This window comes from Homo sapiens, chromosome 15 (genome assembly GCF_000001405.40).
Source record: "Homo sapiens chromosome 15, GRCh38.p14 Primary Assembly".
Classification (NCBI taxonomy): Eukaryota; Metazoa; Chordata; class Mammalia; order Primates; family Hominidae; genus Homo; species Homo sapiens.
The window spans coordinates 50,281,756-50,298,354 of record NC_000015.10 but is presented as its reverse complement, the minus strand read 5'-3'; the positions used below and the strand labels follow the sequence as shown (position 1 = coordinate 50,298,354).

The following is a 16,599-nucleotide window of genomic DNA, read 5'->3' as shown; positions in this document are numbered from 1 at the left end:
TAGTACTTTGGGAGGCTAAGGGTGGCAGATCACTTGAGTTCAGAAGTTCAAAACCAGCCTGGACAACGTGGCAAAATCCTGTCTCTACAGAAAAAATTAGCTGGGCATGGTGGCAGGTGCCTGTGTTCACAGCTACTTGGGAGGCTGAGGTGGGAGGATCACTTGAGCCTTGGAAGCAGAGGTAGCAGTGAGCTGTGATCGCGCCACTATACTCCAGCGTGGGTGACAGACCAAGACCTTGTCTCAAAAACAAAAAAACAAAAACGAAAACAAAAACACATATATCTGAAAGTAAAACGGCTTTTCTTCTAAGTCAGCTGGAAATTTTGACATTTAAATGTGTGACTCCATGAAATGGCCACACCAATTTCTCTAACTTCTCTTAACCTTTGAAAATGTTTTGGTCTAGTCTGAGAGAATTAGTAATTTCAGTTAGTTTTTATTGCATGTGACTTAAAATCTTCTATGAGCACAATAATTTTTCATTTCAATATGACATCACAGTGGAATCTTTTTTTGGAGACAGGGTCTCACTCTGTCACCCCAGGCTGGAGTGCAGTGACGTGATCTTGGCTCACTGAAGCCTCCGCCTCCTGGGTTCAAGCGATTCTCCTGCCTCAGCCTCCTGAGTAGCTGGGATTACAGGCACACGCCACCACTCTCAGCCAATTTTTGTATTTTTAGTAGAGATGGGGTTTCGCCATGTTGGCCAGGCTGGCCTCGAACTTCTGATCTGTCCATCTCGGCCTCTCAGAGTGCTGAGGTTACAGGTGTGAGCCACTGCACCCGGCCCATAGTGGAATCTTTTTGAAGATATTTTAAAAGCTTACTTAAAAAGAAGTGCCGGGAGCGCAGGCTCACTCCTGTAATACCAGTACTTTGGGAGGCTGAGGTGGGCAGGTTACGAGGTCAGGAGTTCAAGACCAGCTTGGCCAACATGTTTCTGAAACCCTGTCTCTACTAAAAACACAAAAATTAGCTGGGTGTGGTGGTGTGCCCCTGTAATCCCAGCTACTGGGGAGGCTGAGGCAGGAGAATGGCTTGAACCTGGGAGGCAGAGGTTGCAGTGAGCCGAGATTGTGCCACTGCACCCCAGCCTGGGTGACAGAGCAAGACTCCATCTCAAAAAAAAAAAAGAAGTAATGGGTGGGCTCAGTGGCTCACACCTGTAATCCCAGCACTTTGGGAGGCCGAGGTGGGTGGATCATTTGGGGTCAGGAGTTCAAGACAAGCCTGGCCAACATGGTGAAACTCCATCTCTACTAAAAATACAAACATTAGCCGGATGTGGTGGCGTATGCCTGTAATCCCAGCTACTCGGGAGGCTGAGACAGGAGAATCGCTTGAACCTCAGAGGTGGAGGTTGCAGTGAGCCAAGATTGTGCCACTGTGCTCCAGCCTGGGCAACACAGGGAGACTCTGTCTCAAAAAAAAAAAAAAAAAAAAAAAGAATTAAGTTAAAGTTTAAGTATGTTACCACCAGAGTAAACAACTTAAAGCTCAATTTGCACATACTCAGGCAAAGCTAAATCTACCACAGATTATTTCTCTGATTTCTGGCTGTCCAGTTTCTTTAAAATCTATCGTCAGACTCATCCTGATTCTCGAAATGTTTATATATATCTTTTCAAGGGCTTGTTAGAATCTGGAAAATACATTAGTGGGACCTCCATTTTATATATAATGAAACAGGTTGAATTGGAGGTTGTGGAGGTTGAATAATTTTATCAAAGGGCATATGGCTATTAAGTAGAGAAAGGAGGATTTGGTCAGTCTGACTGATTCCCAAGGTATATGTCTGTGACCTCTATAATGTACCATCTCTCCTATGCAGTTTATTCACATGATCTCTGGGCTCTTTTAGAACGTTTATAATTTGGTTTGAGATATTTGAATTACACAATATTGAATTATTTGTGTAATTTTCATTTTATCTTATTTTAAGCAAGAGCGTCGCTATTACTTTTGGGATGTATCTGTTTCTATAGCTTTTTCTAGTAATAGGTAGTCTGTTGAAATAAGTGTTCTGCTACTTTTTTGACCTTTTTAAATGATGTTGACCAAAATATAGTGTAAGCTCCATCAGTACACTCATTGTTCCTGCTCATATTCTTTTCTTTTACTAGCTAAGTGGTACAATACACATTTTTCCTGGTTACAAAACAGCCAGAATGTAGCAGCAGATGGACTATATTTTAAATGGAAACTAGCTGGTTGGCATGGTCCTATATATAAAGAGAAGGCAATTGTGATAGTCCAGGGTACCATGCCATTTCACTCAGGAATTATGGCTTTAAATAGCACCTTCATGTCTAATGGAATTGACTTTCCATTAGAAAATGGAAATGACGTTAGTACCATTTTTGACATATACCACACATTTTAATGGTAGTCCTATGAGAACCTTACAATGTCTATTATAATATTTTCATTGAGAAATCAAATGATACCTCTGTCTTTTCTTGATGTTATAAGCAAATATAACAGCAGGTTGTCAGTGCTTGATGATTAAAATAGCTCATTGAATTACTGTTATTGTTCACTGGAAAGAGATTACTTTTAGCTGGAGTTGGGGGTGGGTGTGGTGGAGGGGAATGTGTTGAGTTGTGCCCTAAAGAATGGGTAAGATTTAGATTTTTTGGAACTCATTCCAACTCATACCATTTTGTGTGATTTTCATTTTGAAAGTCATTCCAAAATGAATAGACAAAAAAGTGAAAGCTTTTTTTTTTTTTGGGAATTACAGATATGTATTTTCTTATGAGGAAAACTACCACCATGTAGTACATTATTTATTAGTATACAGAAGCAATCACATTTTCCTGTCTTTCTTCTAAGGTTTACAGGCCACTCTAGTGTCATGGAATCTTCCTAGAGGAAGAAACATTTAAACTGAAAATTAAAGTAGGCGTTAGTAGGGAAAAGTTTGGGGAAGAACATTTTAGCAAGAGGGACATGTGAAGCTTTTGAGGCAGGAAAGAGCTTGACTTTTTAGGGGACCCAGAGGCCAGTGCATCTAAACCCAGTAAGTGGAAGAGTCACTCAAGGTGGTTGAAGGTGAGATTATATAGGACTTTAAAAATGATCACTTTGGCAGGTTTAGAAGAATGCTTTGGAAGGGAGTTTTGTTTGGAATCTAATGCAGTCAACCAGGGAAGAGTTATCATAATGATAGCATGAATGAAGATTTGACAGAGACAATAATTGAATAGATTCGAGGGTTATTTGGGATATAGAATTAGAAGCTGTGATTGGTTAAGATGTAGGCCTTACATCTGTAGTGTAGTTATCTGGCCCTTTAAAAATATTTTTTCATACGTCTCTTATTTTGTAGCTCTAGCCTGTAGTCCTATAGCAACTTTCCTTTGCTTAGCTTTATTCTTCCTTGTGGTACAACTGTATAATACCTTGATTAAATACACATCAGTGACCACCCTTCTTTTTTGTCTTTAGAGCAACTTCTGGTAATTACTAATAAAGTGGTTTTTCCAAAGGTGTAATGCATCTGGTGGCTTTAAAAGTTCCCTCTTTTCTTATGTGTCAAAACAGGGGTTAAAAAAAGAAAAACAATAAAAATAAAAAAGTTCCTTCTTTTTCTCCCTAAAAGTGAAATTTGAACCAGGTCTGTTTTGCACATTGTTTTTTGGTCTATATCAAAAATAGGGTGATACAACTCAATTGGCTTTAAGGGGTATGTATGGGGCCTCATGAGGTTGTTTTGTTTTGTTTTTGCTTTTTTGTTTTTAATTTCAGGTTAAACTGCCACCATAATACCTTCGAAAAGTTTATTTTTTCTTCAATGAATATAGTTTCCATTTTATTTTATTTATTTATTTTTGAGGCGGAGTCTTGCTCTGTTGCCCAGGCTGGAGTGCAGTGGCATGATCTCGGCTCACTGCAAGCTCTGCCTCCTCCCAGGTTCACACCATTCTCCTGCCTCAGCCTCCTGAGTAGCTGGGACTACAGGCACGTGCCACCACGCCCAGCTAATTTTTGTATTTTTAGTAGAGACGGGGTTTCACCATCTTGGCCAGGATGGTCTCGATCTCTTGACCTTGTGATCCACCTGCCTTGGCCTCCTGAAGTGCTGAGATTACAGGCATGAGCACTGCTCCCGGTCCATAGTTTCTATTTTATTATTTAAATGTTTCTATGTAGAATTTTCAATCTTTTAGGACATTTCAAAGACAGTTTTCTTCCCTTATTTCATTTGTATGGCATCTGAATTCAGAATTCTTATTGAACAAGAGATCTCAGATGTCGTCAAAGGTGCTGCAGATTATCTAGGTTTTCTTTAAATATTACAACTTGACTTTTGAATCAGATCAATGAATATTTATGTTATAGTTATTTTTTATCCAGGGAGCTTTATGTTTTGGAATATAAATCTATTTTTTAAAATCAATAATCTTTTAAGAGTTTTTAGGCTTTCTCTTTTAGTGTTTCAACATTTTACTGTTAGATTGTTCTTAAGGCTTCTGGGGGGCACTTTGTCTTACGTAATTTGTTTCCTTTTAATTTTTCTTAAATATCTTACCATAGCACAACTTAAAAAGAAAGCTTTTTAGATGAAAGGCAAGAACTCTATTATTTTAATAACAGTCATTGCAAATAGTGCAAAGATGAAAGTTCTTGAATTGTGCCTTGTGTGTGATCTTAGAAATTTCTTACATATGATTATGCTTTAAAATATTTACTATCTGTAGTTAGCATTCAGTTCAAGTGAATATTTCTTTTTCATATGGATAGTTTTTGAAAAAATCAAAGCAATACTTAATGCGTTTGAAAATCCTAGTAGTAGCTCTGTTGAATATATTACTATTTTATGTCCTACATTTCATTTTGTAATTATCTTCCTGAAATTTTCTTAAGTGCTTGGTGATAAAACCTAATTATAGTTTAAGGTAAACAAAAATTACAAGAGAGCTCAAAACAAAGGTTGTTTGCATTTTGAGTGTTCTGTGGTTTGTATTGTGATCCTTGATTACTAAGTAACACAGTAACAGAGTTGAAGCCAGGCCTGTTGAGTACATCTTGAAAACTAGTTTCCTAGTATTTTTCCTGCCTTAAAAAAAAAGCAGTTCCTATATTTATGGCCTTTCTGTCTTAGTAAATCCTGTGATCACTGATATCCATGATGCCATACTGTGAGTTGATAGAAACTCAGCATATTTCAGAGCAACTGTGTATATGGATGGTAGCTTGATTTTAGTAGAGAGTGGTTTTATTTAATTACACTTTTTGTAAAATTACACTTTTTGTAATTGCACTTTTGTAATGTGTAAATACATTAAAAACCATGCCATTTAGAAATAATTTTTAATGTCATTCCTCTTTTTGAACTAGTTATAATTTTTTTTTTATATGTAGACAGTTTTCAAACCCACAGAAAAATTGGAGGATGAACCTGTATAACTTTCACCTGTATTCACCAGCTGTTAACATCTTGGCATGCCCATATGTTCTCTGACACATGTGTGCATGTACACACACACACACACACACACATATACACACTTTTATTTTGCTAAGTTATATGAAAGTAGGCTGGAGACATCATGATACTTCACCTTTACTTTGGCATGTATCTCTCAAGAATAAGGATGGCCTTCTACATATCCACAGCTCCATTTTATTTTCTAAAAACATCAACATTAATTAAAAAAAATTATCTGACATATGGTCCATTTTCAAGTTGTCCTCCAAATGTCGTGTATAGTCAGATTTAGTTCAGACATTTCCAGGAAGAACACCAGTGAATTTTTGTAACCTCCCAGTGTATCACGTAAGGAGGCTCATAATATCAGCCCATCCTGATAATGACCACTTGGTAGAATGATGACTGCCGGGTCTTTTCAGGTAGATTTTCCCCTTTGCAACTAATAGTAATCTTTGGTGGGATACTTTGAGAACATTTGAATATCCTGTTTCCCCAAAAGATTTTATCAATGCTTTTAGCACCCACTACCGATCCTTGCTTGAATGAATTATTACATTAGAAGTTACAATGATTTATCTTTTTTTTTTTTTTTTTTTTTTTGAGATGGAGTCTCACTCTGTCGCCCAGGCTGGAGTGCAATGGCGTGATCTCAGCTCACTTGCAAGCTCCGCCTCCCGGGTTCACACCGTTCTCCTGCCTCAGCCTCCCGAGTAGCTGGGACTAGAGGCGCCCACCACCGCGCCCGGCTAATTTTTTGTATTTTCAGTAGAGACGGGGTTTCAATGTGGTCTCGATCTCCTGACCCGCCCGCCTTGGCCTCCCAAAGTGCTGGGATTACAGGCATGAGCCACCGCGCCCGGCCGCAATGATTTATCTTAACTTGTCATTTTTTAAATGTTAACTAGATGTCTTTCTATCAGGAATATCTTTCCCATTTCCTCCTTTCTCTCCTTTTTATGAGGTATTATTATAGATAGAATTTTTTTTTTTTTTTTTTGAGACAGAGTCTCACTCTGTCACCCAGGCTGGAGTGCAGTGATGTGATCACTGCTCACTGCAGCCTCAACCTCCCAGGCTCAAGGGATCTTCCCACCCTAGCCTCCCAAGTAGCTGAGACTACAGGTGTAAAACACCAAACCTGGCTAATTTTTAAATTTTTTGTAGACAGTTTTTCACTGTGTTACCCAGGCTGGTCTTGAACTCCTGGGCTCAAGTGATCATCCTGCCTCGGCCTCCTGGAGTGCTGGTATTATAGGCATGAGCCAGATAGAAAGATTTTTTAAAATTCAGGCTGGGCGTGGTGGCTTACGCCTGTAATCCTAGCACTTTGGGAGGCCAAGGCAGGCGGATCACAAGGTCAGGAGTTCAAGACCAGCCTGGCCAATATGGTGTAACCCGTCTCTACTAAAAATACAAAAAAAAAAAAAAAATTACCAGGCGTGGTGGCACACACCTGTATTCCCAGTTACTTGGGAGGCTGAGGCAGAAGAATCGCTTGAACTCGGGAGGCGGATGTTGCAGTGAGCTGAGATCACGCCACTGCTCTCCAACCTGGGTGACAGAGTGAGATTTCGTCTCAAAAAAAAAAAAAATTCAATGGATAGTAATCCATTACTATCATTCCTTTTGATGCTTTCTTATTGAAGTGAGGTTTAATGTACAGAAATGTTTATAGATTATAAGTGTACAGTTTGAGGAATTATCACAAAGGGTTTACATAGGATAATTGTAAACATTGTGTAAACATTGCTCAGTTCATAAATGGAAGGTAGACAGTACATATTCTTTTGTGTCTGGTTTACATCACTCAGTTTTGTTTTTTGTCAGGTTCATCCATGTTTTGCATATAGTCAAATTGCTGTGTTTGACTCTACCATTGTTAATTTATTATCAAAGAATATCTGCGTTGTTTGTAGTTTTTTACTAGTATGAATAAAGCTACCATGTATATTCTTCTACATGTCTTTTGGGATCAGTAGTTGGGTGTAGGATTGCCTGTGAGAAAGGATTTTGGCAGTATTAACTTGTGATTTCTCTACCCAGACAAGGCCACAGGTGCTGCTTGAGCTGCCAGAATCCTCTCTAAGGCTTTCATAAATTATTAAGAGCATATTTGGGGATTTTATTTGTGGAAATGTTAACATACACTATTTACTATCACATAGTACCACATCTGTATGCCACTTATTATCAAGGCAAATCCTTGCTCACTTAATCCAAAAAGAGAATACTCTTTATTCTGTATGTCAACTCACACATAAATGTAAATGGAGTATAATCATATTCAAATTCATCTTATGAATTGTGGATTTTTTTTTTTTTTTGAGACAGGGTCTTGTTTTGTTGCCCAGTGTAGAGGGCAGTGGCATGATCTCTTCTCATTGCAACCTCTGCCTCCTGGGTTCAAATAATTCTCCTGCCTCAGCCTCCTGAGTAGCTGGGGTTATAGGCATGCACCACCAGTCCCAGCTAATTTTTGTATTTTTAGTAGAGACAGGGTTTTGCCATGTTGGCCAGGCTAGTCCCGAACTCCTGACCTCAAGTGATCCTCCCGCCTCAGCCTCTCAAAGTGCTGGGATTACAGACCTGAGCCACCAGCACCCGACTGAATTGTGAGGTTTTACGAAACAGATATAACCTTTGTCATGATATTAGATCTAAATTTTGTACCTCATACAACCAAATGAGAAATTGTTTAACCACTCACATGTAAAGATAGTTGGAACTGATGTATTGTAAATTATGAGAGACTTGTAATCAACTGGTTACATAGATATCTCCAACACCTCTGGCGACTGAGTTTTAAAACCATGTACAAGTTTTCCTGGGTAAGAAAGAAGCAGGGGACCAGGTGTGGTGGCTCATGTTTGTAATTCTCAGCACTTTGGGAGGTCAAGGCAGGAGGCTTGCTTGAGGCCAGGAGTTTGAGACCAGCCTGGCCAACATAGCAAGACCCCATCCCTAAAAAAAATAAAACTAGTCAGGTATGGTGGTACATACCTGCAGTCTCAGCTACTTGGGAGGCTGATTCAAGAGGATTACGTGAGTGCAGGAGTTAAGGATGCAGTGAGCCATGATTGTGCCACTACCCTCCAGCCTGGGCATCAGAGTGAGACCCTATCTCTATTTAAAAAAGAAAAAAGAAAAGAAAGAAGCATAGAAAGCAAAAGTAGCAGACAAAGCAAAAATAGGTTTCTATTCATACCGTTACATATGTTTGCTGAGTTTTCTTTTTTTTTTTTCCAGTAGTGGCCACAGAAGAAGTAGTTACTGCAGAATCTGTGGATGGTGCCATTCAGCAAGTAGTTAGTTCAGGGGGTCAGCAAGTCATCACAATAGTTACAGATGGAATTCAGCTTGGAAATTTGCACTCTATTCCAACCAGTGGAATTGGTCAGCCCATCATTGTGACCATGCCAGATGGACAACAAGGTTAGTAGTAGACATTTATATAAAGTTTGTATGTTTTTTTTTTTTAATTTTTATTTTCTTTAAGTCTTCCCTGCAGTCCAAAAAGATTGTGTTTATTTTTAATTCTCAGGAAATTGTGGTATGTGTTCCAAAGAATGTATTTTTGCCTTGAGTTATATTTGTATAACCCTTTGCAATAGACTTAATTACCTAATTTTATTTGCTTAGGCTAATTAAAATTCAAATTAGCTTGCTTTCTCTGAGTATATACTGGTGGAAAGAGAAATTGGCCCCAAAGTATTCTGGTTGAAAAATGAGCTTAAATGTCAACACAAATAATATCCAAAATAAATAATTCAAATCAGCATTGGACAGTAGTTTCCTAGATCATTTAATGCAATTCAATTACCATGTGAGCTTTTAAAAATACCATATAAGAAAAAGCTACTTAAAAAGAAGTTGGAGCCTGGGCAACATAGTGAGACCCCATGTCTAAAAAAAATATTCAAAATTAGCTAGGCATGGTGACATTTGCTGATAGTCGCAGCTACTTGGGAGCCTGGAGTGGGAGAATTGCTAGAGCCCAGGAGGTTGAAGCTGCAGTGAGCCATTATCATGCCACTGCATTCCAGCCTGGGCAACAGAGAGAAACTCTTTCTCAGAAAAAGAAAAAAAAAAAGGTGGACTTAGGACTTGTAGTAGGAATATGGTAGCACATTTTAGCAGCTTTATTGTGAATTCTAACATTTTTCTCCTTTTGGAAACCACAAAGGCTAACAAGATGAAACAAAAGTCTCAGCTACATTTTCAGTGAAACTAAAAGGCTGAGAAAAACCTCAGAATTCCACATTTTTAAGTGCCGCCAAAAGCATCTGAAGCCATTACAGCCAGGGCAAGAGGACTCTCATAGAAATCCACACTGGTGCATCAAGGAAAGAAAAGGGGTTAAGCTCAGCAATAAACATGCTCTCTCAGAAGGATAGGGCCCCAGACTCAGTAGGAAGTGCTGCATGCAGGACTGAGATAGAATAGGGCATGAATACTGAGGCAGAGAGAAGCTGTAGAAAGTGCCTAAGTAAGCATTGCCCTGTACCTTGTCTCCCCCTAAAAGAAGTGTCCACACATAATCTTTGAGAAAATGACTAGGGCTAGTAGTATGGTGGCTCATGCCCATAATCCCAGCACTTTGGAATGCTAAGGTGGGATGATTGCTTGAGGCCAGGAGTTCAAGACCAGTCTTAGCAACACAATGATACTCATCTCTACAAAAATAAAAATGACGAAATTAGCCAGGTATGATAGTGTGAGCCTGTAGTCCCAGCTACTTGGAAGGCTGAGGCAGGAAGATCGCTTGGACCCAGGAGTTTGAGGCTGCAGTGAACTATGATTGCACCATTGCACTCCAGTGTGGATGACAGAGCGAGACCCTGTCTCCATAAAAATAAAGAAAGAAAGAAAATGAGTAGGATTGTAGAGCGTGTGCCTTTCATGGCCAGTGAAGGGCAGGGCTTGAGGTAGAACTTCGCCTAAACCAGGTTTGGTTTTGAGTGACAGAGGAGGCATGGCATTGAACAGAGACCAGATTTCAAGAAAGGAGTTTGTTGCTGTAGCAGTAGGAGAGGAAACCCTTGACCTCTGAAGCCTGGAGGCCATTCTGTCCCACTCTGCTGAAATCTTCTGCTGATAGCTGGTCTGAAATTTGGATTAGGGTCAGATGCTTTCACAAAGCATTAAAGAACTAATTCTAATTTTCAGAAAAGAAGAAAACTTTAAAAATATTTGTATCAAGCAGACATAACATTGTTTCCAAAACCCGTATCATTATACAGACTAATGATTTCTCACAGCTCTGAAGGCTAAAAGTGCGAGATCAAGGTGTTGGGCAGGTTTGGTTTCTTCTGAGGCTGCTCTCCTTGGTTTGCAGATGGCCGTCTTGTGGCCTGTCCTCACATGGTCTACCTCAGTATTTGTGTTATCTGTGTCCTAATCTCCTCTTCCTGTAAGGACACCAGTAGTACTGGATTAGGGCCTATCTCATTTTACCTTAATTATCTGTTTAAGGACCCTATCTCCAAATAGAGTCACACTTTGAGGTACTGGGGGTTAGGACTTCAACATGTGAATTTGGGGAGTGGGAGTGCCATTCAGCCCATAACAAATACCAAGTTTTTTTCTGTAATTAGCCAAATGGCTTCTAAAGTTTATGTTGATGGGGCAGAGGGAAGAAGAATAAGGAAAACTCTGGAAAAGAATAACCATGAGAAAGTTCTACTGAATATTTAAAAAAAACTTCTAAAGCCTTCCTGAATTAAAAATATATAGTTTACATGTGAATTATGTAGACTTTACAGACAGTCTAATAAACAGATTTAAATTCTCATTTTTTCCTGAGGTAATTTATGTCATGAATAAAAAAGAAGTAAAACCCAAATTCTCAATATTTCTAATGTTTTAAATTACATTGTACTAAATAAATATTAGTTTTACTATTTTTAAATTTTTATTTACATTTATAACTGTCACTAAGAGAGTTTTTCATGTTTTGGCAAAAAATTTTAAAGGCCGTGGAACAATTATAATTTTCCCCATTGTGATTATTAAAATGGCTTCGCATGGTTTCAGCTTGCACAGTCATTTTTATGTTCCTGTAGTGCTGTGCAAAGCAAGGACAGCCTCTCTATATAATTGCATTTATATAAAGAGCTACTAAAAATTGAGAAAAAGCCCAACAGTACAATACAAAAACAAGCAATGTTTATGAACTATCAGTGCTCATAATGGAATATGCACTTAGTGGATATTATGCAGCTAAATAAACAGAAGCTCTCTATGTAGTGATGTAAGATATTATAAGTATTTGGAGTGAAAAAAGCAGATGCAGAACAATATATCTATTGTATAGATGCTACCTTTTATGTAAGAAAGGAAAATGAGAATGTATACTAATTTTTAAACAAATTAATATAAGGATAATACATAATAAATTAATAAAATGATCATCTGTTAGCAGGGGTGGGCATGAGGCCTCTCAAAATATGCTCGTTAAATATTTTGATGTTTTGAGTCATGAATGAATATATTATCTATATAATTAAAAAAATATTTGTAGGTACTTTAATAAGTAGATTTCAGTAAAAAAGCAAGAAGGTAATAAAAAAGACAAATATGGATAGTCTCATAAAAAGCAAATCAATGATTTGGAATTATTGTTTTGGAATGTAGTTATTTTAGATGAGTAGCATCAACAATGTCAAGACTAGTTTTATTTCTAATAAATCTCTCTGAAAATGAAGTAATACATAATTTTTTTTTCATTTTAGTATTAACAGTACCAGCAACAGACATTGCTGAAGAAACTGTTATAAGTGAAGAACCACCAGCTAAGAGACAATGTATCGAAATAATTGAAAACCGGGTGGAATCTGCAGAAATAGAAGTAAGGAGTCTTTTACCCGGTGTGCTTTGCCGCAGTCATCCAAAATAAATTCAATTTTTTTTGTCTTTTATATTTATTACTGACAGTATTGTTTTGATACAGAATGAAAGTGCGTAGTATTTTCATTTTGTTTATTTTTGCCTTATACATATAGCAAGCCCTCAATAAATAAATATTGAATGAATGAATGAGTGAGTGAAGAATTTGTTTATAACAGTCTGTCATCTTGATAACACTGGAATGTCTTTGGTTCTTCCACTTCATCCTTTATGTTTTAAACTTACACACACCATTCTTACACGTCACTAAAGGAAAATACCAGTATATATTGGCTAAAATTTTTTTTTTGTTGTTCAAAACTGAAACTCAAATGCCTAATTGGGCTAGGGGTCCTCTTAAAGGAGGTTGATGTTTGTCAAATGGGTTATTTTTTAAAAGCAGTAGATAATTGCTTATTTCAAGGCAAGTAAATGAATTTAGACTAGCTGTTCATAGGATTCATCATTTTTTCCCCTCTCCCAAAGTAATTTGTAAGCGTAAACCAGTTTGTAGGTGTAACAAAACCATAGTTGCTTCACAGGTTTTTTTCTTGACTGACTGTAAATAAATTTTGTTCCATGAACTTGATAATAAGTTATATCAAATGAAAACAAAGTTATACTTGAATAACTTTGAAAGAACAACTGCAGCCACTGAACTTGAAATCAAATGAACTGAGTTGGAATCCCACCTCTTGCTCTGTTAGCATTGAGGCAAGGAATCTTATCTTTCTGAGTTTCAGTTTTATTGTGTCCCAAACTGGAATTTAGAATAATAATAATGTCTCCATTTTCGGGTTTTTGTGAGAATTGAAAAAGTCAGCATAGTCATACAATATTTATATCTGATACGTGTTTGTAGTAAACTTGGTGAATATTTAGTAATTTTTTGTAAAGGTTCTTGTTATAGAAAGGAGATTTTTAAAATAAGTCACTAAAAGACAACATAAGTCAAACTAAAGACAATGAGAAAATACCCTTCCTAAATTCATGTAAATATAAGACTGGTACATCTTTCACCACACCACAAATATATTATTGAGTTTAAAAAATCTGGTTATTGGTTAAACCGGAATATTTGGTAAAATTATGACTTTAAATATTGATGTTGGGTTGTTTTATTTCTTCAAGATTTAAAGTGATGTGTAGGATGTTGAAGTTCTTATTCACAAACTAACAATTTTTCCATTGAATAGTATCAGTATACTTATTATTTAATAATTTTTGTTGTTTTTCTGATATGTCAGATGATCTTTTTCAGACACATAAGGTAAAAAAATTGTCATGTACTTCGCTTTAACTATCTAATAAAGTATTATTTTAAAATTACTTGAATTTTTATTAAATGTAAGCTTATTTAATTCAACAGATTATATTTTTAAACAGTGAATGTGCAGCCTATACCTTTATTTACCTAATGACCAGTAAGCATTGCTGTTTCCCTCAAAGTTCAGCCTGATTTCTTTCTTACAGTCTTTTGAGAGACCAGGGAAAATAATTGCAAATAACAGGGAAGTATGAATTGAGAGGTATATAAAGTAACTAGGGCCAAGGAGATGGAGCTTTAGGGAGATTCAGTTTTAGCTTGGTATGAAGAACAGTGATTTTTGTTTGCTTGCTTTGTTTTGATTTTAGTAATTAGAGCTTTCTGGTAATGGAAATCTTATTCTCCATCACTAGAAATGTTCAAGCCAAGGTTGCATGACCTCTTAGGGCTATTTCAGAGAAACCTGGAAGCATACAGTGAGTATACAGGTAGTGGTAGGCTGGAGATATAGAATGAAGAGATGACCTCCAATGTTTTCACCAAACCAGGTAATAATTTCCTTATAATACATGAAGTCGTTATTTTGCATTTATTTTCTTAGGTGGCCAATGGGGTTATCTTGGGGGGAGACTTTTATACTCCTAAGGGACAGCTTGGCCATTAACTTTCAAAGTTTCTCTAAAGCAGCGTCAGGAGATATATTTGGTTGTCATGACTAGTGGCATTCCACTGACATGTAATGGGTAGAGGCTGGGTAGACATCCTACGATGCACAAGACAGCCTCCCACAATAAAGAACTGTGTGGCCCAAAAATATCAGTGATGCTGAGATTGAGAAACTTAAAGAAATTTAAAAATTAACTCTATACAAAATCTAATGTTTGAGTTTTCTCCATGTATCTGTGACTGCAATGACCAGAGTGACTGTCCATAAAGAAAGTGCTAAGAGTTGGCTGGGTGCGGTGGCCTACACCTGTAATCCCAGCACTTTGGGAGGCCAAGGTGGGTGGATCACCTGAGGTCAGGAGTTCGAGACCAGCCTGGCCAACATGGCAAAACCCCATCTCTACTAAAAAATACAAAAATTAGCTGGGTGTGGTGGCACGCACCTGTAGTCACAGCTACTCAGGAGGTTGAGGCAGGAGAGTTGCTTGAACCCGGGAGATGGAGGTTGCAGTGAGCCGAGATTATGCCATTGCACTCCAGCCTGGGTGACAGAGTGAGACAAAAGAAAAAAAAAAAACAATAAGGTGCTAAAAATTTATGTTTACAGTTTCCCAACTAACAATGGAGAGGTTTGCCAAGAGTCTCTGGAAAAATTACTTTAAATTGTAGAAAGTGTATTGTAAATTTTGTGGGGCTTTACATCTGCATATGGCAATATAGGAAATAAAATAGGTTTTTTTTTTTGGAGGGAAAGGTATGAATAAAATACCAAATTGCAATAATGTATATAATTTTATCTTCCATTTATTACCGCATTGAAGATATTTTTGGAGGAAGAGTGTTATTTACAGATTTCCAAAAATAAACGTTAGACTATTCTGAATTGAAATTAATCTTTGTACATGTGTAAGAAATGTATTTAGTGTATTAGGAGTAACAGATTTCTATTACTTACTTTATTGTGTGACTTCAGGAAATACCTTTATGTTTTCTTTGCCATGGAGGTTAGAGATAAATGTTTATTAGTAAATTTTATTTTATTTTTTTAGATAGAGTCCCTGTTGCTCAGGCTGGAATGCAGTGCTGCGATCTCAGCTCACTGCAACCTCCGCCTCCTAGGTTCAAGTGATTCTCCTGCCTCAGTCTCCTAAGTAGCTGGGATTACAGGCATGCATCACCATGCCTGGGTAATTCTTGTATTTTTGGTAGAGACGGGGTTTTACCGGGTTGGCCAGGCTGATCTCGAACTCCTGACCTCAGGTGATCCATCCGCTTCAGCCCCCCAGAGTGCTGGGATTATAGGCATGAGCCACTGCGCACGGCTGTAAATTTTATTTTTATGAAATATTTGTGTCCTTAACTGGTGGTAGATTTGAGATCCTTAGTGCTCTCTTAAAAACTGATTTCTGTAAACTTTATAAAATGTTTTATTTGATGCAAAGCTTTTCAATCTTTTTTTTTTATGGCTATCTTTCCTGATCTGCCACAATTTAAAAATGTTTATAGTCACATCCGTCTCTGTTTTTTTTTTTTTTTCTTTTTTAAGGCAGGGTCTCACTTTGTCACCCAGGCAGAAGTGCAGTGGTGCAATCATGGCTCACTGCAACCTCAAACTCCTGGGCTCAAGCAAGCTTCCCACCTCAGCCTCCCAAGCAGCTGGGACCGCTATACCCGGCTAAGTTTATTTTTATTTTTATTTTCATAGAGAGGGTGTCTTGCTATGTTGCCCAGGCTGGTCTTGGACTCCTGGCCTCAAGTGATCCTCCCACCTCAGCCTCCTGAAGAGTTGAGATTACTGGCATAAGTCACCATATCCAGGTCATATCTCTTCTCTCTCTTTTTTTAAATTAGTGTTTTTATGTATGTATGTATGTTTGTATTTATTTATTTATTTTTTGAGACAGGGTCTCACTGTGTTGCCTAGGCTGGAGTGCAGTGGTGCAATCACAGTTCACTGCAGCCTTGACCTCCCTGGGCTCAAGCAATCCTCCCACCTCACAGCCTCTTGAGTAGCTGGGACTACAGGCTACACCACCATGCCCAGCCAATTTTTGTATTTTTTTGTAGAGATAAGGTTTTGTGGCTGGGCATGGTAATTCATGCCTGTAATCCCAGCACTTTGGGAGACTGAAGTGGGAGGATCACTTGAGGTCAGGATTTTGAGATGAGGTTTTGCCCTGTTGCCCAGGCTAGTCTCTCACTCCTAGGCTCAAGCAATCCACCTGCCTTGGCCTTCCAAAATACTAGGATTACAGGCATGAGCCACTGCATGCCCAGCACCCAGTCTATATCTCTTTTTTCTAAGGCTGGAGAAGGCAAAGTTTTTTTTCATAAATGGCCA

The 16,599-nt window shown here is 37.9% G+C and overlaps 1 protein-coding gene across 14 annotated transcripts in view; it reads left to right on the top strand.

The window, feature by feature from the left end:
- The window catches only part of GABPB1 (GA binding protein transcription factor subunit beta 1), a 79,810-nt gene that overhangs the window by 56,844 nt on the left and 6,367 nt on the right, over positions 1–16,599 (top strand). For 8 of the 14 annotated variants that reach the window (NM_016654.5, NM_005254.6, XM_017022053.3 and 5 more), the window contains 2 exons: positions 8,687–8,872; positions 12,172–12,287. In NM_016654.5, coding sequence (NP_057738.1) covers positions 8,687–8,872; positions 12,172–12,287 — 302 coding nt within the window. Of the gene's footprint in view, positions 1–8,686; positions 8,873–12,171; positions 12,472–16,599 lie in introns of those variants that run through there. The other 6 variants (XM_011521426.4, XM_024449886.2, NM_001320915.2 and 3 more) reach the window with 2 other exon arrangements.